Genomic DNA, 23,732 nt, shown 5'->3' on the forward strand with positions numbered 1-23,732 from the left:
TGGGGGGAAGGCGTTTCTCGTAGGGCTTCCATGGGTGTCTCTGGTGAAATTTGCTTTCTGTTTCATGGGCTGCTGGGGGCCTGGCCGGAGAGGAGCTGGGGGCCACGGAGAAGCAGGTGCCAGCTCTGGTGCAGAGGCTCCTATGGCCTTTCAGGCCCATGGCAGAGGGTGGGCTCAGGAGGGCCATCGTGGGTGTCCCCCGGGTGGTTGAGCTTCCCGGCAGGCGTGTGACCTGCGCGTTCTGCCCCAGGCCGCTACCTGTCTGAGGAACCCGAGCCCTACCTGGCAGTCTACCTGCACTCGGAGCCCCGGCCCAATGAGCGCAACTGCTCGGCTAGCAGGAGGATCCGCCCAGAGTCCCTCCAGGGTGCCGACCACCGGCCCTACACCTTCTTCATTTCCCCGGGGTGAGCTCTGCGGGCCGGCCTGGCAGGGCAGGGCAGGGCATCATGGGTCAGCATTGCCCGGGTTACGGGCCCCGTGGGGACGGCAGGCAGCGAGGGGACTGGACCGGGTATGGGCTCTGGGACTCCGACATCCAACCTGGCGGAGCCTGGGCTCACGTCCACTGCCCCTTCCCTTCCCAGGACCAGAGACCCAGTGGGGAGTTACCGTCTGAACCTCTCCAGCCACTTCCGCTGGTCGGCGCTGGAGGTGTCCGTGGGCTTGTACACGTCCCTGTGCCAGTACTTCAGCGAGGAGGACGTGGTGTGGCGGACAGAGGGGCTGCTGCCCCTGGAGGAGACCTCGCCCCGCCAGGCCGTCTGCCTCACCCGCCACCTCACCGCCTTCGGCACCAGCCTCTTCATGCCCCCAAGCCATGTACGCTTTGTGTTTCCTGTGAGTGACCCTGTGCTCCTGGGAGCCTCTGCAGAGTCGAGGAGGGCCTGGGTGGGCTCGGCTCTATCCTGAGAAGGCACAGCTTGCACGTGACCTCCTGGGCCTGGCGGCTGTGTCTTCACAGGAGCCAACAGCGGATGTAAACTACATCGTCATGCTGACATGTGCTGTGTGCCTGGTGACCTACATGGTCATGGCCGCCATCCTGCACAAGCTGGACCAGTTGGATGCCAGCCGGGGCTGCGCCATCCCCTTCTGTGGGCAGCGGGGCCGCTTCAAGTACGAGATCCTCGTCAAGACAGGCTGGGGCCGGGGCTCAGGTGAGGGGCGCGGCGGGGTGGCAGGGCCTCCCCTGCTCTCACTGGCTGTGCTGGTTGCACCCTCTGGGAGTGAGTCTCGTCGCAGGCGTCAGAACAAGGCAGTTTTTGCAGTGCTGTGTGAAGGGCTCGTGTGTTCATCCTGGGAATGACCTCGTGAGCACTCACTGTCCCTGAGGACTAGGACAGCTCCTAGCTGGAAGTAGGTGCCAGTCAGTCAGGGTGGGCAGCCCACGTTCTACACAGTAGCGTAGCCCCACAAGTTACGTGAGCATCGCTACCACTGTGGGAGACCATGCATCCACCCGCGATCCTGACTGCATAGCTCGTCTCTCAGACGGAGGCGCCAGCACCCTCCCCGTGGCTGTTTCTTCAATACCTCCATTTTCCTTTCTTTGGAATTGCCCTTCTGGCATTCCCTTTTTGTTTTCGTTTTTCTTTTTTTGGAGACGGAGTCTCGCTCTGTTGCCCAGGCTGGAGTGCAATGGCGTGATCTTGGCTCACAGCAACTTCCAGCTCCTGGGTTTAAGCGATTCCCCTTAAGCGATTCTCCTGAGTAGCTGGGAGTACAGGTGCACACCACCACACCCAGTTAATTTTTCACCATGTCAGCCAGGCGAACTCCTGACCTCAGGTGATCCGCCTGCCTCGGCCTGCCAGAGTGCTGGGATGACAGGTGTGAGCCACCACACCTGGCCGTGTTCCCATTTTTTATTTCCATGCTGCTTTCATCTTCATTTCCCAGTTCTTTCTTTTGATTACCTACTTTTAAAAACTGTCGGCCGGGTGCGGTGGCTCACACCTGTAATCCGAGCACTTTGGGAGGCTGAGGCAGGCTAATCACGGGGTCAGGAGATCGAGACCATCCTGGCTAACGGTGAAACCCTGTCTCTACTAAAAAATACAAAAAAATTAGGCCGGCGTGGTGGCAGGCGCCTGTAGTCCCAGCTCCTCGGGAGACTGAGGCAGGAGAATGGCGTGAACCCGGGAGGCGGAGCTTGCAGTGAGCTGAGATTGCGCCACTGCACTCCAGCCTGGGTGACACAGCAAGACTCCATCTCAAAAAAAAAAAAAAAAAAAAATACTGTCACCTGGGTCTGTCACTGGGAGAGGAGGTGACACAGCTTCACGCTTCGCAGTCTGTGCATGAACTGAGGGACGGGTGTGTGGTGCAGGTCACCGGTTGTGGCGTGACTGAGGTGTGGACAGGTGTGCAGTGCGGGTCACTGGTTGTGGTGTGGACTGAGGCGTGTGCAGCCATGTTTGCATGTTACAAGTTACAGTTCTTTCCATGTAACTTAATCATGTCCTTGAGGTCCTGCTGTTTATTGGACAAATTGCAGTAACCGCAGCTCCTCGTGTATAGCAGAGCTGTGCAAAGCCGGGACTGCCTGTGTGGCTCCTTGAGTGCGCGGAGGCCAAAGCTGAGATGACTTGCCTGGGATGCCACACGTGTTGGGCAGCAGACCGAGCCTCCCACCCCTCCCTCTTGCCCTCCAGGTACCACGGCCCACGTGGGCATCATGCTGTATGGGGTGGACAGCCGGAGCGGCCACCGGCACCTGGACGGCGACAGAGCCTTCCACCGCAACAGTCTGGACATCTTCCAGATCGCCACCCCGCACAGCCTGGGTAGCATGTGGAAGATCCGAGTGTGGCACGACAACAAAGGTCTGTATGGACCCTGCCAAGCTCTGCCCCTCTGCCCCTGCATTGGGGCGCCCTGCGAACCTGACCTCCCTCCCGCGCCTCTGCAGGGCTCAGCCCTGCCTGGTTCCTGCAGCACATCATCGTCAGGGACCTGCAGACGGCACGCAGCACCTTCTTCCTGGTCAATGACTGGCTTTCGGTGGAGACGGAGGCCAACGGGGGCCTGGTGGAGAAGGAGGTGCTGGCCGCGAGTAAGGCCTCGTTCCGTGTTCCCACTCCGTGGGAGGTTGGGCAGGGTGGTCCTGCCCCGTGGCCTCCTGCAGTGCGGCCCTCCCTGCCTTCTAGGTCACGCAGCCCTGTTGCGCTTCCGGCGCCTGCTGGTGGCTGAGCTGCAGCGTGGCTTCTTTGACAAGCACATCTGGCTCTCCATATGGGACCGGCCGCCTCGGAGCTGTTTCACTCGCATCCAGAGGGCCACCTGCTGCGTTCTCCTCATCTGTCTCTTCCTGGGCGCCAACGCCGTGTGGTACGGGGCTGTTGGAGACTCTGCCTACAGGTGGGTGCCGTAGGGGTCGGGACAGCCTCTTCCTGCCCAGCCCTTCCTGCCCCTCAGCCTCACCTGTGTGGCCTCCTCTCCTCCACACAGCACGGGGCGTGTGTCCAGGCTGAACCCGCTGAGCGTCGACACAGTCGCTGTTGGCCTGGTGTCCAGCGTGGTTGTCTATCCCGTCTACCTGGCCATCCTCTTTCTCTTCCGGATGTCCCGGAGCAAGGTGGGCTGGGGCTGGGGACCCGGGAGTACTGGGAATGGAGCCTGGGCCTCGGCACCATGCCCAGGGCCGCCACTTTCCAGTGCTGCAGCCAGAGGGAAAGGCGTCCACCAAAGGCTGCTCGGGAAGGGTCAACACACTTGAGCAGCCTTAGCTAGACTGACCAGGGAGAAAGAGAGAAGACTCAGAAGCCAGAATCGTGAAAGAACGAGGGCACTTCGCTAAGCAGACGCCACGGACAACTGCACAGCAGCACGCCAGATAACTCAGAAGAAGCAAGCACGCGGCTGTGCACGCTTCCGAAATGCACTCCAGAAGAAAATCTCAGTACATCTATAGCAAGTGAAGAGGCCGAGTTAGTCCCTTAGAAACCTCCCAGTGGCCGGGCCGGGTGTGGTGGCTCACGCCTGTAATCCCAACACTTCAGGAGGCCGAGGTGGGCGGATCTGAGTCCAGGAGTTTGAGACCAGCCTGGGCAACATAGCAAGACCCCATCTATATAAAACATTAAAAAGGGCCAGGCACGGTGGCTCATGCCTGTAATCCCAACACTTTGGGAGGCCGAGGCGGGCAGATCAGTTGAGGTCAGGAGTTCGAGACCAGCCTGGCCAACACAATGAAACCCCATCTCTACTACAAATACAAAAACAGCTGGGCATGGTGGCGGGCGCCTGTAGTCCCAGCTACTCGAGAGGCTGAGGCAGGAGAATGGCATGAACCCAGGAGGCGGAGCTTGCAGTGAGCCGAGATTGCGCCACTGCACTCCATCCTGGGCAACGGAGCAAGACTCCGTCTCCAAAAAAAAAAAAAAAAAAAATCCCACAAAGAAAAGCCCAGGCTCAGAGCCTTCACGATAGAATTTTTCTAAGCAGTTAAGGAAGAATTAACACCAATCCTTCACAGACTCTTTCCAAGAATACAGCAGGTGGGAACTCTTCCCATTCATACGGAAACGGGAGGCCGCACCCCTTAGGAATGCACACGTGGGGTCCTCAAGAGGTTACATGCAAACTAACCCCAGCAGCACACAGAGAAGGCGCATAAGCCGCGACCAGCAGGGGTTGCTCCCGAGTCCGTGGCAGGAACCAGAGGCCACATGTGGCTGCTCGTATTTAAGTTAATTAAAATGGAACGATGGCCGGGTGTGGTGGCTCACACCTGTAATCCCAGCACTTTGGGAGGCGGAGGCGGGCAGATCACTTGAGGTCAGGAGTTCCAAGACCAGCCTGGCCAACACAGTGAAACCCCGTCTCTACTAAAAATACAAAAAATTAGCTGGGCATCGTGGCAGGCACCTGTAATCCCAGCTACTAAAGAGGCTGAGCCAGGACGGACAATCGCCTGAACGCGGGAGGTGGAGGTTGCAGTGAGCTGAGATTGCGCCAGTGCACTCCAGCCTGGGTGACAGAGCGAGACTCCATCTAAAAAAAAAAAAAATGAAATTTAAAACTCTGTTCCTTAGCTGCACCAGTCTGCTGTCAACCGTTCAGTGGCACATGTCGCGAGGGGCTGCCATCACGGACGGTGCAGATGTCCCATATATCTAGCATTCTAGAACATTCTGTCAGATGGCACCGGGCTCTGTCCTGTCTGCTGAGGAGGTGGCTTCTCATCCCTGTCCTGAGCAGGTCTGAGCTGCTGCCCGCTGACCACTGCCCTTGTCCTGCAGGTGGCTGGGAGCCCGAGCCCCACACCTGCCGGGCAGCAGGTGCTGGACGTCGACAGCTGCCTGGACTCATCCGTGCTGGACAGCTCCTTCCTCACGTTCTCAGGCCTCCACGCTGAGGTGAGGGCTCTACTGGGGGTCCTGCCGCCTTGGCGCAGCTTGGACTCAAGACCCTGTGCACCTCTCAGCAGGCCTTTGCTGGACAGATGAAGAGTGACTTGTTTCTGGATGATTCTAAGAGGTGGGTTCCCTAGAGAAACCTCGAGCCCTGGTGCAGGTCACTGTGTCTGGAGTACCGGGGGTGTGCGGGCTGCGTGTCCTTGCTGGGTGTCTGTGGCTCCATGTGGTCACACCACCTGGGAGCAGGTTTGCTCGGAAGCCCAGGGTGTCCGTGCGTGACTGGACGGGGGTGGGCTGTGTGTGTGACACATCCCCTGGTACCTTGCTGACCCGCGCCACCTGCAGTCTGGTGTGCTGGCCCTCCAGCGAGGGAACGCCCAGTTGGCCGGACCTGCTCAGTGACCCGTCCATTGTGGGTAGCAATCTGCGGCACGACCCCCACTTACTGGGTCTCTCCTTTTACAACCAACACAACCGAAATCTAGGGCTTCTTCTTTTTTTTTTTTTTTTTTTGAGACAGAGTCTCATTCCATTCTGTCACCCAGGCTGGAGTGCAATGGTACGATCTCGGCTCACTGCAACCTCCGCCTCCCAGGTTCAAGGGATTGTCCTGCCTCAGCCTCCTGAGTAGCTGGGATTACAGGCGTGTGCCACCATGCCTGGCTAATTTTTGTATTTTTGGTAGAGACGGGGTTTCAGCATGTTGGTGAGGCTGGTCTCGAACTCCTAACCTCGTGATCCGCCTGCCTCAGCCTCCCAAAGTGCTGGGATTACAGACGTGAGCCACCATGCCCAGCCAAATCTAGGGCTGGAACATGGCTGCAGCATATAAATAGAATTGAATTCCATAGTTTTGTTAACCCTGTTTTTTGTTTGTTTGTAGTTGTTGCTGTTTTTGAGACAGAGTCTCGCTCTGTCGCCTAGGCTGGAGTGCAGTGGTGCAATCTCGGCTCACTGCAGACTCTGCCTCCCGGGTTCAAACTGTTCTCCTGCCTCAGCCTCCCAAGTAGGTGGGACTACAGGCGCCCACCACCACACCCGGCTAATTTTTGTATTTTATTAGAGACAGGGTTTCACCATATTGGCCAGGCTGGTCTGGAACTCCTGACCTTGTGATCCGCCCACCTCGGCCTCCCAAAGTGCTGGGATTACAGGCGTGAGCCACCACCCCCAGCCCCTGTTTTGTTTTTGTTTTGCTTGCTTCTTAGGGTTGTTTTTCTATTTATGGTAAAGGCATTGGCTTTCCATTTGTAGCATCAATAGAATATTTCCTGTTTACAATAACCTTATGTCATAGTAAATGGTAAAGGGATTTAAAGCAGTGGTTTTCAGCTGCCAGAGGCCTGAGTTTGGGCACACTCTGTGTGATCGGGCAGAAGGCCTGTGGGAAGTTTAGCTGAGGACAGGGCCAGGAAAGGTGATGGACAGTGGGGGTCTGTCCTGGTCACCAGGCCCCTGGGTCCTGCCCACCTGCTTGGAGCTCCCCACCCATCACACATGATGCTGCCAAGCCCTCTGGGTATTGTGGGCAAATACCTTAGGAGAGAAGCTGATGAACTTTGTTTCTTGAAATGCACAGATTCCTTGGACGTCCCTGAGAGCTCAGTCATGAAAGTCAGCTTGGTTTTCTCCCCCTCATTTGGGTTCAGAATTTAAAGTCCACACACACGGGCAGTAAGATGATATAGATAAGGACATCATCACTCGGTTTCGGATGTTAAAATGTCTAGGTGGGTTAGGGGTGATTTGAGATCACACAACCTTGTGCCACAAAGAGGAATTCCCAGGCCAGAGGGAGACATTTTATTGCCATGTTATGATCTCATCATTGAGTTGAAAGGCAATCTTGTTTCATTTTGGATTCTTTCTTATGTTTATGTCTTATAAGGGCACTTTGAATTTCCAAGCAAATAATAATTTTGAATTAGCTTTTAATCATTGACTTCTAGCACAGTTTTATGATCAGAAACATGCTGTGTGATTTGATTGCTCTCAAATATATTGAGATTTGCTGGAACAAAATAAGTCAGGTTAATTTTTGTAAATGTACCATGCATGCTTAAAATGAATGTATGTACATTTGTTCCTGAGATACAGGTTGATGGACGGATGGCTACATGGATGTGATGGAGATGGTTTACTATCGGGACCTTCCGCATCCTGCTGATGTTTTGTTGCTTAGGATATGAATGGCTGAGCGGAGGCTGTAAAACCTGGCACTCTGCTTGGGTATGAGGTTCTTCCTGCCATCCTGCCATCATTTGTTTTTTATGTTTTGTCGCCAAAAGTGACCTTGAGGAACCCTGGGAGCTCAGGAAGGAAGGAGCACCCAGAAGCAGGGACAGGGAGCTGGTTGGGGAGGACCAGAAATCAGGTTTGTGAAGGTTCCAGAGAGGACCTGGCCTTGGGAGGAGCGTGGGGGACTGAGAAGGGGGAGGGGTCATTGGGATGATGCGGGCGCTACTTGGAATGTCCATTGTGAGGCACCACCGGGGTCATCAGGGATTGGTGGAGAGAGAGTCTAAAGCCCCAGGGTTGCTAAGGGAGGGCCCAGACCGAAGAAGGTTTGGTGGAAAGCAGAACCTTTGTCTCCTAATTGCTCCTAAGCCTCACGCTCCCTTGCCCCGCCTGTCCTGTTGCTTCCCTGATCTTCTCCGTGACCTGTAGCTAAACCTTCCACCAGCGCTTGAGAACTTAATTTGAACCGGATCCTTTCCCAGACCCCTTTCTTCTTCTCCTCCTCCTCCTCCCCAACAGCCCCCTTCTCCTCCTTTCCCTTCCCTTACTTCCCCCCTTCCCCTCCCCTTCCCCTCCCCCTCCCCTCCCCCTCCCCAACTCAGATCGGGCCCGGTCCCCGTCCCCTTCCCTCCCCCCTGCCCTAAGCCACCTCCACCTCTGTCCTGGCTGCCTCAGGGCGCCCTGAAAGGACCAGGACATGCGGGTGCGGTGGCTGCTCTTTTGGCTCCTCTTTTGGCTCCTGCTGGGATTTATCAGCCATCAGTCCACCTGTGTGAGTAGATGGGTGCTGTGGCTGCTCTTTTGGCTCCTGCTGGGATTTATCAGCCATCAGTCCACCTGTGTGAGTAGACGCTGGACCCGCGGGGTTTCTTCCTTTTTACTGGGCTGTGTCACGCGGCATGAAATTACACAGCTCAGGCCTGTAATCCCAGCACTTTAGGGGGCTGAGGTGGGCAGATCACTTGAGTCCAGGAGTTGAAGACTAGCCAGGGCATCATAGCGAAACCCCATCTCTACAAAAAATTCCAAAAAAGATTAGTCGGGCCTGGTGGTGCGTACCTGTTATCCCAGTTACTGGAGAGGCTGAGGTGGGAGGATCGCTTGGGCCCAGGAGCTGGACGTTGCAGTGAGCCGAGATGGCCCCGCTGCACTCTTGTCTCTAACAAACAAAACGGACCAAAACAAAGTGAAATGTCATTTGATTTGTGTCATCTGGTTTGATGACTTTTTTTTTTTTTTTTAAGACAGAGTCTCATTCTGTCGCCCAGGCTGGAGTGCAGTGGCAAGATCTCGGCTCACTGCAACCTCCGCTTCCGGGGTTCAAGCAATTGTCCTGCCTCAGCCTCCTGAGCAGCTCAGATTACAACGCCTGGCTAATTTTTGTATTTTTAGTAGAGACTGGGTTTCACCGTGTTCGCCAGGATAGTCTCCATGTCTTGACCTCGTGATCTGCCTGCCTCGGCCTCCCAGTGCTGGGATTACAGGCGTGAGCCACCGCGCCTGGCCAAAATATATAACCTTAAGTGTAAGTTTACTAACTTTGGAAAGTACATACACCAGCATAAACCAACCCCCTTTCAAGATCTACATTATTTTATTTATTTATTTATTTATTTGAGACAGTTTCTCCCTTGTTGCTGAGGCTGGAGTGCAATGGGGCAATATCAGCTCACCGCAACCTCTGCTTCCCAGGTTCGAGCGATTCTCCTGCCTCAGCCTCCCGAGTGGCTGGGATTACAGACATGTGCCACCACTCCCAGCTAATTTTGTATTTTTAGTAGAGATAGGGTTTCTCCATGTTGGTCCGGCTGGTTTTGAACTCCCGACCTCAGGTGATCCGCCTGCCTCGGCCTCCCAAAGTGTTGGGATTACAGGCGTGAACCACCGTGCCCAGCCAAGATCTACACTATTATGTCACCCCAGAAAGTGAACTCTCACTCTTCCCAGCCAGTCTCTTTCTTATCATAGCTTAGCTTGCTTATTCTGGAATTTCGCGTATACAGATGCATGCCATGCCATAGGTACTCTTTTGTGTCTGCTTTATTCTGCTCAACACCATGTTTCTGAAATCATTACCATTGTTGTACGGTTCTCTAACTCCATCATTTCCATTTCAGACTCAGCATATGCTGAGTTCAACCTGTTGAAGGGCTATCTCTGTTTAATTCACCATCTTGAAAGAAACATTTAAAATTGAGATGTTTTCAAGAATATATAGTTAAATCCTGAGGAATCGATGTAGAAATGTTATCAGAAGCTGTCTGAACTTACTCAGGGGAAGTCTTCGTCTTCACTCACATAAGAGTCTAATGGAATTAATATCAACAATCTTAGAGAAATCCCACGCTATTCATGCCATTTTCATGATCTCCACCTTGGTAATTTTTTTTTTTTTTTTTTTTGAGACAGAGTCTCGCTCTGTCACCCAGGCTGAAGTGCAGTGGTGCGATCTTGGCTCACTGCAACCTCTACCTCCCAGGTTCAAGTGATTCTTCTGCCTCAGCCTCCCAAGTAGCTGGAACTATAGGCGCGTGCCACCATGCCCTGCTAATTTTTTGTATTTTTAGTAGAGATGGGTTTCACCGTGTTAGCTAGGATGGTCTCAATCTCCTGATCTCGCGGTCCACCCACCTCGGCTTCCCAAAGTGCTGGGATTGCAGGCGTGAGCCACCACGCCCAGCCCACCTTGTTACTTTTTAAGAACTAAAATTCGATACTTATTTGTGAATGAAGTAATCTCTTCATTGTATTTTTTTTTTTTTTACTTATGCTGAGCTTTAAATGACAAAGATTCATATAATCCAAGAGAGAAGTATTATTTAGAGGGATTCTTTTACCATGTGATATATAATAAATGCATCCAATGTTATACATCAATTTAAAAAACAAGTAAATAACTAAAGAAAAGATAACTACTGGCCAGGTGCAGTGGCTCACACCTGTATTGCCAGCACTTTGGGAGGCCGAGGCAGGTGGATCATGAGGTCAGGAGTTGGAGACCAGCCTGGCCAAGATGGTGAAACCCTGTTTCTACTAAAAAGACAAAAATTAGCCGAGCGTGGTGGCAGGCGCCTGTAATCCCAGTTACTCAGTAGCTGAGGCAGGAGAATCGCTTGAACCCGGGAGGCGGAGGTTGCAGTGAGCTGAGATCATGCCACTGCAATCTAGCCTGGGTGACAGAGCAAGACTTTGTCTCAAAACAAAAATAAAAGATAAGATAATTACTTTATACTTAGCTTGTCTTACCCATGAGTGACGGGCTGCATGTGGCCCAGGACAGTTTTGAATGCAGTTCAACACAAATTTGTAAACTTTCTTAAAACATTAGGAGATTTTGGCCAGGTACAGTGGCTCATGCCTGTAATCCCAGCACTTTGGGAGGCTGAGGCGGGCAGATTACCTGAGGTCAGGAGTTCGAGACCACCCTGGCCAACATGACAAAACCCCATCTCCACAAAAAATACAAAAATTTGCTGAGTGCACTGTCAGGCACCTGTACTCCCAGCTACTCAGGAGGCTGAGGCAGGAGAATCACTTGAACCTGAGAGGCAGAGGTTGCAGTGAGCCGAGAGCACACCACTGCACTCCAGCCTGGGTGACAGAGTGAGACCCCATCTCAAAAACAAACAACAAACAAAAACAAAAAAAATGGCCTGGCACGGTGGCTCACACCTGTAATCCCAGCACTTTGGGAGGCCGAGGCAGGCAGATCGCCTGTCAGGAGTTCAAGGCCAGACTGGCCAACATGGTGAAACCTCATCTCTACTAAAAATACAAAAATTAGTCGGGCATGGTGGCAGAGACCTGTAATCTCAGCTGCTCGGGAGGCTGAGGCAGGAGAATGGCTTGAGCCCAGGAGCTGGAGGTTGCAGTGAGCCGAGATTGCACCACTGCACTCCAGCCTGGGCGACTGAGTGGAGCGGAACTCTGTCTCAAAAAAAAAAAAAAAAATTTTTTTTTTTAGATCATCAGCTATTGTTAGTGTTAGTGTATGTTATGTGTGGCTCAAGACAACTTTGCTTCTTTTAATATAGGCAGGGAAGTCAAAAGATTGGATATCCCTGCTTTATACCAAGAAAGACAACACCCCACATTTGCAATGCCTAAAAACACTACCAGCCATCTGAAAAACATGAGACTTCTCTAACTTCTGTTCTTTTTTGTAGCAGTGGAATCCCACGGTGATATCTGAGGGATGTGGTTACCTTTTGGAGGAGGTTGACGGTTTCTAAGGATGATTCTTTCTGAGTGAAATATTGTCAGTGTCATTGACCTTTTCATTATTTCAACTATTATTATTCCAGGTTATCAATACTCTGGCTGACCATCGTCATCGTGGGACTGACTTTGGTGGAAGTCCTTGGTTACTTATCATTACTGTGTTTCTGAGAAGTTATAAATTTGCCATCTCCCTCTGCACAAGTTACCTTTGTGTGAGTATACTAACTTTCTGTAGAGGTATACTTGTAATCACAAATAAGAATAAATTATATGAAACAATTCACGTTTCTGGACTTCATTATGAATATGTGGTTTTACCCAAAAAATCAGGGAAATGATTTATTAGCATAAGAATTATGAAAATATCTGCCATTTACATTATGAAAATTAAATAGGTCGGTGTTTAATAGAATGTCAACAGAGCTTTTGGTCAAAAATAAGTTTTTTTAACCTTTGTGCTATTTGTCACAAATGGAGTATGAGATTTCGTCACTTAAATGGGAAAGTCTTTCTAAACTCTTCTGCTTTATAGTTCTATCGTATGGGTGGAAGGAAAGCTTCCAATCTCCTCTCTGAAGATTCACTGCAGAAATGAGCTGACAACAGACAGCTTAACAGGAAAAGAAAAACATAGAACAGGCATAAACATGGGAACCAGCTGAAAAATGAGACTGCTAGAAGGGCTGGATGGTTGATGCTTAAAGAGCACCCTCTTCTGAGGGTAGAGGGAGATAGATGGAGATGTAGGCCATTTAGAGGGGCAGCAAATGATTTTTAGGGGAAATGAAAGAGCCCAAGGAACAAACAGTTGGCCTGAGACAAAGTTCCTCTGAGGTCATAGGGACGAGGTGACAAACTGCCGGAAGGTGAAGGGCAGAACTGCACTGCGTCTCATGATGCAGAGAAAGCCCCAGAGAATCTCTTAGAACTGCCCTCCAAGAGAATCAATGAAAAGTGTGTCTGGGCAGGGTAATTTTGAATGACATCATTCAAAGTGCATGTTCCCACTTGCAACTGGAATGAGATCAGTATGTCAAAAGTCTATACTTGGTAAGAATTTGGCTGCTAAGTTGTGCCATAATTTGTCTTTTGAGCCTTTTATCCTTTGCGTAAGTTGAGCTCTACATTTTGTCTTGCCATTCATGACAATAAAAATGTGGTTGTGTGGGGGCTGAACCTCCTTCTGAACAATGATCCAAGATAAAAGTACTAAACCACAATGCTTTTTTATATTCAAGGGAAGAGGAAGTATGTTTCAGTTTTACCGCCTAGATAATTACACGTCATTTGGCACTGCCTTTCAAGATATGTAGAAAACAGAAAATATATGAGTTATGAAGATATCTAGGCACATTTAACATTCTCTATGCCACTTAGTCCTGAACAGAGAATTTTCGGTATAAATTGGAGGAAGCTTTTTTTTTTTTCTTTTCTCACCCCCAAGAGGAGTCTCCCTCTGTTGCCCAGGCTGGAGTATAATGGTGTGATCTCGGCTCACTGCAACCTCCACCTCCTGGCTTCAAGTGATTCCCCTGCCTCAGCCTCTCAAGTAGCTGGGATTACAGGTGCCCACCACCATGCCCAGCTAATTTGTGTATTTTTAGTAGAGTCGGGGTTTTACCATGTTGGCCAGGCTAGTCTCAAAACCCGACCTCAAATGATCCACCCGCCTCAGCCTCCCAAAGTGCTGGGATTACAAGTGTGAGTCACCACGTGAGCCAGGGGAAGTTTTTAAATTTACCACTTTTTAACAATTCCATTTAGGAAAGTTCAGTTGAGCTGTTGGACTTGGACAACTTTGCACCTCTCATCTTTGTCCTTGTCATCTAGTCATCTATACCATTACCTCCTAAGCAGGGACATCATGGGTGCCATGAAGCATTCATGTGTGATGGCATTTCTTTGCTTCTCATTTCTTCATGTGTTTGACATTTCTCCTAGCTCCAAACTGGGCCAGCTACCTTTCCTATGAAATCTAGCAGTAGCTGTGGGATAGACGTGGTTGCTCTTTTCATCTTTTTAGATTACCCATTGCTTCTCTTGAAATCCTAGTACATGATTTTTTTTTAATCCTATGTGCAGAAATCAGGAAAAAACAAGTTCTACAAAGAATTTGAAAGATATTATTTCAGGCCAGGTGTGGTGGCTCATGCCTGTAATCCCAGCACTTTGGGAGGCTGAGGCAGGTGGATCACTTGAGGTCAGGAGTTCAAGACCAGATGGGCCAACATAGTGAAACCCCATCTCTACTAAAAAGACAAAAATTAGCCAGGCATGGTAGCAGGCACCTGTAATCCCAGCTACTTGGGAGGCCGAGGCACAAGAATCGCTTGAATCTGGGAGGTGGAGGTTGCCGTGAGCCAAGGTAGTGCCACTGCACTTCAGCATGGTTGAGTGACACTCCGTCTCAAGAAAAAAGTCATTTCAATGACTACCTCAGGAGATTCATAGGTATCTGACCCACATCTGAGATGGGATTTGCATTGCATTTTAGCTATGATGAGAACAAATATTTAATATCTTCGAAGATTAAAAGCATACTGTGATAATATGGAAATCTTGGTGGGAATTCAGTCATTAGTGAGAATGTTTTGCGTTAAGTTCAAACCAGCCTCAACGAAGCTGATGTGAGGGAAGGGAAAGTGAACTCTGAGTAGAGCAGGGACAGAAGAAAGATGCTCCAGTGCAGATCAGGAAGGAGCAGGGGGTGAAATGTTACAAATTCTAGAACTCAGAGAGCTGAAGGTAATTAATTACTTCCTTTTCAAGTTGTGAAACATGTTAACCTGTGGTAAAATACTTACAAGATGATAATTACCATCTAACCGTGTTGAAGTGTACAGTTCAGTTGTGTGAAGTATATTCATGTCATTTTTTTTTTTTTTTTTTGAGACGGAGTCTCACTCTGTCACCAGGCTGGAGTGCAGTGGTGGGATCTTGGCTCACTGCAACCTCTGCCTCTTGGGTTCAAGCAGTTCTCCTGCCTCAGCCTCCCGAGTAGCTGGGACTACAGGCGTGCGCCACCATGCTCAGCTAATTTTTGTATTTTTAGTAGAGACGGGGTTTCACCATGTTGCCCAGGATGGTCTCCATCTCTTGACCTTGTGATTCACCCGCCTCGGCCTCCCAAAGTGCTGGGATTACAGGCGTGAGCTACCGCACCTGGCCTATATATTTTTTTTTTTTTTTTTGAGACAGAGTTTGAATTTTGTTGCCCATGTTGGAGTGCAATGGCACAATCTCAGCTCAACACAACCTTTTCCTGCTGGGTTCAAGTGATTCTCCTGCCTCAGCCTCCCGACTAGCTGGGATTACAGGCATGCACCACCATGCCTGGCTAATTTTGTATTTTTAGCAGAGACAGCGTTTCTCCATGTTGGTGAGGCTGGTCTCAAACTCCCGACCTCAGGTTATCCGCCTGCCTCGGCCTCCCAAAGTGCTGGGATTACAGGAGTGAGCCACCATGCCAGCCTCATGTCATTCTTGTGTGTTGTGTGTGTGTGTGTGTGTGTGTGTGTGACAGAGTCTCATTCTGTCACTCAGGCTGGAGTGCAGTGGTGTGATCTCGGCTCACTGCAACCTCCACCTCCCAGCTTCAAACGGTTCTCTGCCTCAGCCTCCCGAGTAGCTCGGATTACAGGCGCCCACTGCCATGCCCGGCTAATTTTTGTATTTTTAGTAGAGATGGGGTTTCACCATCTTGGCCAGGCTGGTCTTGAACTCCTGACCCCGTGATCCACCCTGCCTCGGCCTCCCAAAGTACTGGGATTATACGCATGAGCCACCGTGCCCAGCCGTCATTCTTATATTATTATTTCCTAGGTGTCTTTCCTGAAGACTATCTTCCCGTCTCAAAATGGACATGATGGATCCACGGATGTACAGCAGAGAGCCAGGAGGTCCAACTGCCGTAGACAGGAAGGTATGGCTCTGTTGGAGTCCCCATAGTGTGGAAATGAGTTTGCCCTGGAAAGGGAAAGAACAGCTTCTTGCCCTCAGGTTTCTCACCTTCTCCTCTCCTCACTCTCACCAAGGGCTGAGGTCCGTTTGTATGCACACAAAGAAAAGAGTTTCTTCCTTTCCAGGAATTAAAATTGTCCTGGAAGACATCTTTACTTTATGGAGACAGGTGGAAACCAAAGTTCGAGCTAAAATCCGTAAGATGAAGGTGACAACAAAAGTCAACCGTCATGACAAAATCAATGGAAAGAGGAAGACCGCCAAAGAACAGTAAGATGTGCCTTGACACAAATACTGTTGTATGAACCATGTGCCAATCAAAGTAGACAACTGTAAAGTCCTTGAGAATATTTTCTACAATATTTGTGGCAAATTCAGTGGGTTCAAAATTGAGCTTGTCCTTTCTGCTTCATTAGTTTAAGCTGTATAATTCCTTTCCCTTCCTACATTCTTGTTTGTCATTTTTTCAGGGGAAGAGGAGTTGCTAGTACTGGCATTGGTTTTCCTTTCTCTCTCTCTTTTTTTTTTTTTTTCCTGAAATGGAGCTTTGCTCTTGTTGCCCAGGCCGTAGTGCAATGGCACAATCTCAGCTCACTGCCTTTTGGGTTCAAGCAATTCTCCTGCCTCAGCCTCCCAAGTAGCTGGGATTACAGGTGCCCACCACCACGCCCAGCTAATTTTTGTATTTTTACTAGAGATGGGGTTTCACCATGTTGTCCAGACTGGTCTCGAACTTCTGACCTCAGGTAATCCACCCGCCTCAGCCTCCCAAAGTGCTGGGATTAGAGGTGTGAGCCACCACACCCAGGCTTTTTTTTTTTTTTTTTAATTTTGAGATAGAGTCTCGCTCTGTCGCCCAGGCTGGAGTGCTATGGTGCAATCTTGGCTCACTGCAACCTCTGCCTCCCAGTTTGAAGCAATTCTGCCTTGGCTTCCCGAGTAGCTTGGATTACAGGTGTGTGCCACCACATTCGGCCAATTTTTTTTTTTTTTTTTTTTTTTTGAGACAGAGTCTCACTCTGTCACCCAGGCTAGAGTGCAGTGGCATGATCTTGGCTCACTGCAACCTCCGCCTCCCAGGTTCAAACGATTCTTATCCCTCAGCCTCTTGAGTAGCTGGGACTACAGGCATATGCCACCATGCCCAGATAATTTTTGTATTTTTAGTAGAGGCAGGGTTTCACCATATTGGCCAAGCTGGTCTAGAACTCCTGACATCATGATCCGCACAACTCGGCCTCCCAATGTGCTGGGATTACAGGCGTGAGCCACCGTGCCCAGCCCAATTTTTGTATTTTTAGTAGAGACGGGTTCACCATGTTGGCCAGGCTAGTCTTGAACTCCTGACCTCAGGTGATCTGCCTACCTCAGCCTCCCAGTGTGAGCCACCGCACCCAGCCTGGATTGTTGAATTCAATGCTTGGGTCACCTCCAAATTCATTTTCACAGTCTTTCATGTTTTGGTCATACTACATTGTATTTTGCTGCCATATGACTGATCTTTTTTTGTTAAATGTGAGATACTTTTTAAAAAATATTTAACAATGCATTGAGGCCTAGTAGCATGTTATCTTGCTGCAGAAGAGATGGGAGTCTACTTCTGGGGGATGGTCAGGGGTCCTCCGTACAGGCTGCAATTGAGGTCGTCTCTGCAGGCTCAGTCCCTACAAAGGCCAGGGTATTTCCTGTCCACCTCTATTCTGATGCATGACTCTTCTGGGTCTCAACCAGAGCCAGTGGACTTCAGTATGGATCGCTTTCATTGGCAGACCCTCAATCCACTTGTTTTCCATCTAACCCCACGCATGTGTGCAAAAGCTGCTGTGCTTCTTTGCATCTCAGTAGTTCCTTCTGGAATTCAGCAATGAAACTCAGGGAAATGGGTTCCAAATGCGAGGCTGACTTTCGTCCTGGGTTTCCTTCTTCTCCATCTTCACCTCATGTCTGTTTACTGCCATGTTAGCAATTTGATGTATTCAATCATGGGTTTTATATTCTGTTTGGTGTCCCCCATTGTTCTCATCGGAGATCAGAAGCTTCAGATGCACTTATGTCAACTCAAGAGTAGAATGCTTCCTTAGCTTCCCTCCAGAGTCAGGTTTTGTGTTTCTAGTTCCCAAGTGCACAGCAGGAGTAGTGCTGTCCTCACTGGCTTCTCATTTGCATTAAACTGTGAGCTTCTTTAGCGTGGGGACAGGACCCTGCTCCCATTGCATTGTCAGCACCTCACCACACACACCTTGTTTGAGGCCACTCCAGACAGCATGTGCTGAAGGATGCCCTGTGGTCAGAAACAAGTTCATTAACTTTCTCTTTGAAGTGATTTCGTCCCTGTTTCCTAGCGTTCTGGGAATTTTACACATCCTTCCTATAAAACCAAGTATCAGGTGAGATCCTTAGGATCAGGACCATGAATCAAGTGGTGTGAGGGCAACACAGCAAACTTACCCTTTTGAGGCCGTTTCCTTTTTCTGCCCTCAATCTCTGTGAACTGAACCTTGTTAAAGTCAGTCAACACCAGGGTGGATGGTTTGCCGTTGTCACCTATTTTCAGGACATAACATCCTGACTTAGGAGCCATTCCGATCATTTCTAATTCAATAGATGCGCCCAGCATTCAGATTGCCTTTTCAGGATCTTTAAAGTCGATGACAAGAGTTCCAGTCCTGAATCATGGCAAAGTGCAGTAGTGAACTGCGGGGTTAATGACACCATATTCTGGAAGGATCTCTCTATGGCTGATGGTCTCAGTTCCGGCATCAGCCTCTGACTGAGAATCAGGTCTCACACAGGAGGAGTCAGATGAGGAGCAATCCTCTGCTTCCGATGGAGTTAGTTGTGATGAATTGGTGAGGTCTGGTTTTTCACACTGAACTAAAATGAGCTTTCGCTGTGTCAAGCACAAGACTGACCCCAGAGACGCACATAGTGCACCTCATAGAAGCTTTTAATAGTCTTTATATTTACTAAAGAATAGGACTAACTATGGAACTATGAAGATGAGCTGGAAATGACAGGTGACTTGCCAGCAGGCCAGAGTGTGATTTTTTTTTGTCCCTCAATGGGAGGTGTCCATTCTTCCTTCGGTTGTGAGAATCAGTTGGTTCATTTGTGGGAAGGTTGCAGGGGGGATCTTTGAATCAGCCTTCAGATGCCAGAAGGGCAGAGGGAATCCCACACGTGCTGGTGGATCATGTGTGTGCATTTCTCTCCCTTCTAGTCTGAGGAAACTAAGCATGAAAGAACGTGAGCACGGAGAAAAGGAGAGGCAGGTGTCAGAGGCAGAGGAAAATGGGAAATTGGATATGAAAGAAATACACACCTACATGTGAGTTCAGAAACTGAACCCCACCCTCTTGGGAAACGCCCATTGGAGTGTTGTTTTTAACCTTTGTACAATGTTTAGACCCAGTAAATGCAGAAATAGAAACAAATGGTCAGAAGACATATCGTGAGAGAGAGAGAGTTCACAAAACAGAAAACAAAGTACCTTAATATTTACCAGTGACCAAAAGATGTGAAGTAGCAAAACGGCTCCTGACCCCATTGCCAGCTAGACTGTGTGGAAACTCGGTTCATACCAGCCATTCTAGGGGTGGGGTGAGTTGTTGTCATCCTTAGGAAAGTGTGTTGTTGTAGGATCAACCACATCCTTCAAAAGGACTATGCCTGTTTATAAGCCCAGCTGTTTCTGCCCTGTGAAACACGGTAAAGATATTAATACAAAGAGAATACAGCTTTATGATAAAAGATGCTCAATGAAGGATGAATTAGGGATATACTGAGAATGGGGAAGGAAACTATCATCTCAGAAGTCAGCAGGCAGTAAGCAAGAGGAGGAATCAATATAGCAACAGTTTGGATCAGACTGTACAGTTTTTTTTGTTTTTGTTTTTGTTTTTGTTTTTCTGAGATGGAGTCTCGCTGTGTCACCCAGGCTGGAGTGCAATGACGTGATCTTGGCTCACTGCAACCTCCGCCTCCCAGGTTCAAGTGATTCCCCTGCCTCAGCCTCCCGAGTAGCTGGGATTACAGGCGCCTGCCACCACCCCCGCCTAATTTTTTGTATTTTTAGTAGAGACGGGGTTTCACTGTATTAGCCAGGATGGTCTCAATCTCCTGACCTCGTGATCCATCCGCCTCGCCCTCCCAGAGTGCTGGGATTACAGGCGTCAGCCACCGTGACCGGCTCAGACTGTACTCTTCTAGCCATCTGAAATACGTTTTCTAGGTAGAGATAGATTGTGTAAGGGTACAGTTGTGAGGATAACAGAAACATGGCAGATTATTTAAAATCATCCTGAAAGTGGTGCTTTATCTGATGAAAGTGATTGTAATCCATAGGGAAATGTTTCAACGTGCGCAAGCGTTGCGGCGGCGGGCAGAGGACTACTACAGATGCAAAGTAAGGAGCTTCCTCCCCGCAGTTGCAGGATAGTTCAGTGCTGATGCAGATGATGCCACGGCCCTTAGACTCTCTCAACATTCAATTTCTCATGTGTTGGCTTTTTCAGATCACCCCTTCTGCAAGAAAGCCTCTTTGCAACCGGGTAAGTTTGCTTGTTTTCCTTGCTTTTGGACATAGTCTGCCAGGTCAGGACATGGATACATTTTTCTCCCTACGGCTCTGTGCTCAAGCCCTGCAGAGGGAGATGGCAGAGAGGAAGGCTGCCTACAAGCATCACAGTCCCATCCCTGTTGGTAACTGTGTTGCGCAAAAACACCTTCATCCCCACCCAGTGGGGCCCCCATCTAATATTCTAAGTATCAGAGGTTCCGTATTTGTAATAGCAAATGGGCCCTGACTGTAAATTAGTGAAGAGTGAATGTAACTTATTACCCACAGGGACAATTCCAAATGAGGGCCTTAAATGATGCTCAGCTAAGCTGGTTCTTGTGTGGCCTCTGTACCTTCAAAAGCTGCCGAGTCCTATGATTACACGCGATGGGACTTGTACACTTGAAGTGAAACACAGTTTTAAAACTTGCTTTGTTTAGAATTCCCACCTCATTTTTCCATGGACAAAAGTATTCTTTATGTCCTAGTGCACTTACAATTTGGTATTACCTGGGAGTGAAAAGAAATATTACAGCCATGCCTAACTGACTTCTTGAGGTAAGATTGTTCTGTCAGAAAACCCTCTCCCAGTTCCCCTGCAGCTCTTCAGGAATCCACATCTCTCCAGAGCTCTTTGTTCTCATGGGTGGCACCTCCAGAGTGAAGAAGATCCTTTGTCAAGAAGGGAAACAGAGGGGAAATGAGAGGGTCCTGCAGGCAGAGCTGGAATCAACTTCCACTCTGCCTCTTGCAAGCTGTGTGACCCTGGGCACAATTTCTCCTTCCTCTGGAAACCTCTGTTTTCTTAGATTTGGAGCAGGGTGGTCACACTGACCTTGCAGAGTTCTGAGAATCAGAGACAGAACATAAAAGGCCTGGAAAACATTCTCCAAAAAGAAGCTGCAACATGTGTGGACAATGGGCTTTTCATGCCTCTCTTACTGTCTCTTACTGTCTATTGACCTGGTGCAAGAAACATGCTCTGGTGATGGCTGTGAGGGAGGAATGAGGATAGACATAGACACTCCTGTGTCTCAAACATGCTTCTTTATTACTCTGTTATGACTCTGTCTTCCCTGGGGCAGGACCCCAGCCTGCCTACATTTGCAGACAGACACAGTGGCATGTGGAGACAACAGTGTGTCCCAATGACTTTTCTTTACCCCCTAGCTGTCGGCAGTACTCAGTGGAAGGGTGATATTATGACACTGACACTGCTATTTTGAAACCTGGAGGATGGAAAGGTGCAAAAATCTATCACCAGCAACAGAAGGTGCAGACTGTGTTGGTGGCGGTAATTTTGTCCATCAAATGAATATGTGTGAAAACATTCCCTCCTTTGGCCCTACAGGTCAGAATGGCGGCAGTGGAGCATCGTCATTCTTCAGGATTGCCCTACTGGCCCTACCTCACAGCTGAAACTTTAAAAAACAGGATGGGCCACCAGCCACCTCCTCCAACTCAACAACATTCTATAATTGATAACTCCCTGAGCCTCAAGACACCTTCCGAGTGTGTGCTCTATCCCCTTCCACCCTCAGCGGATGATAATCTCAAGACACCTCCCGAGTGTCTGCTCACTCCCCTTCCACCCTCAGCTCTACCCTCAGCGGATGATAATCTCAAGACACCTGCCGAGTGCCTGCTCTATCCCCTTCCACCCTCAGCGGATGATAATCTCAAGACACCTCCCGAGTGTCTGCTCACTCCCCTTCCACCCTCAGCTCCACCCTCAGCGGATGATAATCTCAAGACACCTCCTGAGTGTGTCTGCTCACTCCCCTTCCACCCTCAGCGGATGATAATCTCAAGAAACTAAGGAAGAATAAATAAATAATATAAAAATAAAATGAATACTGCAGTCCTTATGTTATTGCTTTGTTTCAATATCTGGTATGATTGCCTGAGGGACCTGAGGTTTTTAATCGTAGGGGTTTTTTTAATCTTTAGAAGTGGTTGGTTATGTAAAATATTATTATTTGTTTTTTTTTTGAGACTGGAGTTTGCTCTGTCACCCAGGCTGGAGTGCAGTGGCTCGATCACAGCTCACTGCAGCCTCAACCTCCTGGGCTTCAAGCAATCCTCCTGCCCCAGCCTCCCAAGTAGCTGGGATCACAGATGTGTGCCACCACGCCTGGCCAATGTTAAAAAATCCTTTAACTTTTTTGTAGAGATGCACTCCTGGACTCAAGCAATCCTCCTACTTGTCCCGACCACCAGCCTCTTTCTGATAAACATTTACACTGTTTATTATCTGATGCCATTTCTATCTTCTTCCTTGTCATCCAGACATCAAAGAATTAGGTTTCTTCAGGGTTTTCTTTTTCAAGTGCTCAGTGTTAAAGATCACTCACATTAGGGCCAGACACCACGGCTCATGCCTGTAATCCCAGCACTTTGGGAGGCCGAGGCGGGCAGAGCACTTGAGGTGGGGAGTTTGAGACCAGCCTGGCCAACTTGGTGAAACCCCACCTCTACTGAAAAAATACAAAAATTAGCTGGGCGTGATGGTGCATGCCTGTAGTCCCAGCCACTTGGGAGGCTGAGGCATGAGAATCGCTTGAACCCAGGAGGCAGAGGTTGTAGTGAGCCGAGATCACATCAGCACACTCTAGCCTGGGTGACAGAGCGAGACTGACTCAAAAAATAAATAAAATAAATATCACTTACATTAGATATACCCAAGGGGTGGTCTATAGAGACTTTGAAGCAGTGGTTATTGCAACAGGGGCACGGAAGTCATCTGGCTATGCCAGGGTGCCCAGGGGATACTCGGGGTGGGTGGCATGGTGCTGCTGGGGACTCACCGCACAGGACGCTCTGATTGACGCACTGCCAGGAGTAGCGCTCTGTCTTGGGGCTGCAGCCGGCCTCCTCAGCTCGAGTGTAACAACAGTCGTGGCCATGGCAGCACCTGCGGATGTCACATGGGCAGGACAGCAGGTGGGTGAAGCTCTCTCCTGGCCCTCCTCTCTTGCCAGGACTATGGGTGACTGAAGACCCCCAGGGAGGCACAGCATCCTCTTATCTAAGATTTTTTTTTTTTTTTTTTTTTTAAGAGACAGGGTCTTTCTCTGTCGCCCAGGCTGGACTGCAGAGGCACAATCATAGCTCACGGCAGCCTTGAACTCCTGGGCTCAAGCGATCCTCCCACTTCAGTGTCCCAAGTAGCTGAGACTACAGGCACACGCCAGCATGCCCGGCTGGTTTTTTAATTTGTATTTCCTTTGAGACAGCGTATCTCTCTGTTGCTCAGGCTGGAGTGCAGTGGCTCAATCAGCTCACTTTAGCCTTGAACTCCTGGGCTCAAGTGATACTGCCACCTCAACCTCCCAAGTCTGCTACTACAGGAACACAAACTCCTTTTTTAAATTTTTTATGGATATGGGGTC

General features: G+C 49.5%; 1 protein-coding gene, 1 non-coding gene and 2 pseudogenes across 6 annotated transcripts in view; all 4 read left to right on the forward strand.

The window, feature by feature from the left end:
- PKD1P1 (polycystin 1, transient receptor potential channel interacting pseudogene 1) overlaps nt 1–4,077 on the forward strand; it is a 22,344-nt pseudogene extending 18,267 nt beyond the window's left edge. Inside the window, exons 22-28 of the transcript NR_187118.1 lie at nt 251–407; nt 588–840; nt 965–1,160; nt 2,658–2,828; nt 2,915–3,058; nt 3,153–3,363; nt 3,454–4,077. The product of NR_187118.1 is annotated as a polycystin 1, transient receptor potential channel interacting pseudogene 1 (transcript). The remainder of the gene's footprint in view (nt 1–250; nt 408–587; nt 841–964; nt 1,161–2,657; nt 2,829–2,914; nt 3,059–3,152; nt 3,364–3,453) is intronic.
- LOC131696449 (PKD1P1-NPIPA5L readthrough) overlaps nt 1–22,208 on the forward strand; it is a 40,475-nt pseudogene extending 18,267 nt beyond the window's left edge. The window contains exons 22-37 of one of the 3 annotated variants that reach the window (NR_172900.1): nt 251–407; nt 588–840; nt 965–1,160; nt 2,658–2,828; nt 2,915–3,058; nt 3,153–3,363; nt 3,454–3,580; nt 5,247–5,484; nt 7,652–7,737; nt 11,906–12,034; nt 15,645–15,744; nt 15,908–16,052; nt 19,003–19,110; nt 20,127–20,187; nt 20,297–20,332; nt 21,692–22,208. The product of NR_172900.1 is annotated as a PKD1P1-NPIPA5L readthrough, transcript variant 1 (long non-coding RNA). The remainder of the gene's footprint in view (nt 1–250; nt 408–587; nt 841–964; nt 1,161–2,657; nt 2,829–2,914; nt 3,059–3,152; nt 3,364–3,453; nt 3,581–5,246; nt 5,485–7,651; nt 7,738–11,905; nt 12,035–15,644; nt 15,745–15,907; nt 16,053–19,002; nt 19,111–20,126; nt 20,188–20,296; nt 20,333–21,691) is intronic. The other 2 variants (NR_172901.1, NR_036447.2) reach the window with 2 other exon arrangements.
- MIR6770-2 (microRNA 6770-2) lies at nt 905–964 on the forward strand. Its single transcript, NR_107060.1, has one exon. It is a non-coding gene; the product is annotated as a microRNA 6770-2 (primary transcript).
- On the forward strand, nt 3,477–22,208 carry NPIPA6 (nuclear pore complex interacting protein family, member A6). Its single transcript, NM_001423836.2, has 10 exons — nt 3,477–3,580; nt 5,247–5,484; nt 7,461–7,592; nt 11,906–12,034; nt 15,645–15,744; nt 15,908–16,052; nt 19,003–19,110; nt 20,127–20,187; nt 20,297–20,332; nt 21,692–22,208. The coding sequence occupies exons 3-10, from the start codon at nt 7,530–7,532 to the stop codon at nt 22,157–22,159; spliced, it is 1,110 nt and encodes a 369-aa protein (NP_001410765.1). The 5' UTR covers nt 3,477–3,580; nt 5,247–5,484; nt 7,461–7,529; the 3' UTR covers nt 22,160–22,208.
- Nucleotides 22,209–23,732: the final 1,524 nt, after the last annotated feature.

The sequence above is a fragment of the Homo sapiens genome, chromosome 16, assembly GCF_000001405.40.
Source record: "Homo sapiens chromosome 16, GRCh38.p14 Primary Assembly".
NCBI classification, from domain to species: Eukaryota; Metazoa; Chordata; class Mammalia; order Primates; family Hominidae; genus Homo; species Homo sapiens.

Excerpts from the sequence above, each read along its gene's own strand:
- NPIPA6 (NM_001423836.2), top strand. The coding sequence starts at position 7,530 with ATGTTTTGTTGCTTAGGATATGAATGGCTGAGCGGAGGCTGTAAAACC. Across the intron at positions 15,745-15,907 it reads CAACTGCCGTAGACAGGAAG|GAATTAAAATTGTCCTGGAA; the intron begins GTATGGCTCTGT and ends CTTCCTTTCCAG. Across the intron at positions 20,333-21,691 it reads GAAAGCCTCTTTGCAACCGG|GTCAGAATGGCGGCAGTGGA; the intron begins GTAAGTTTGCTT and ends TTGGCCCTACAG.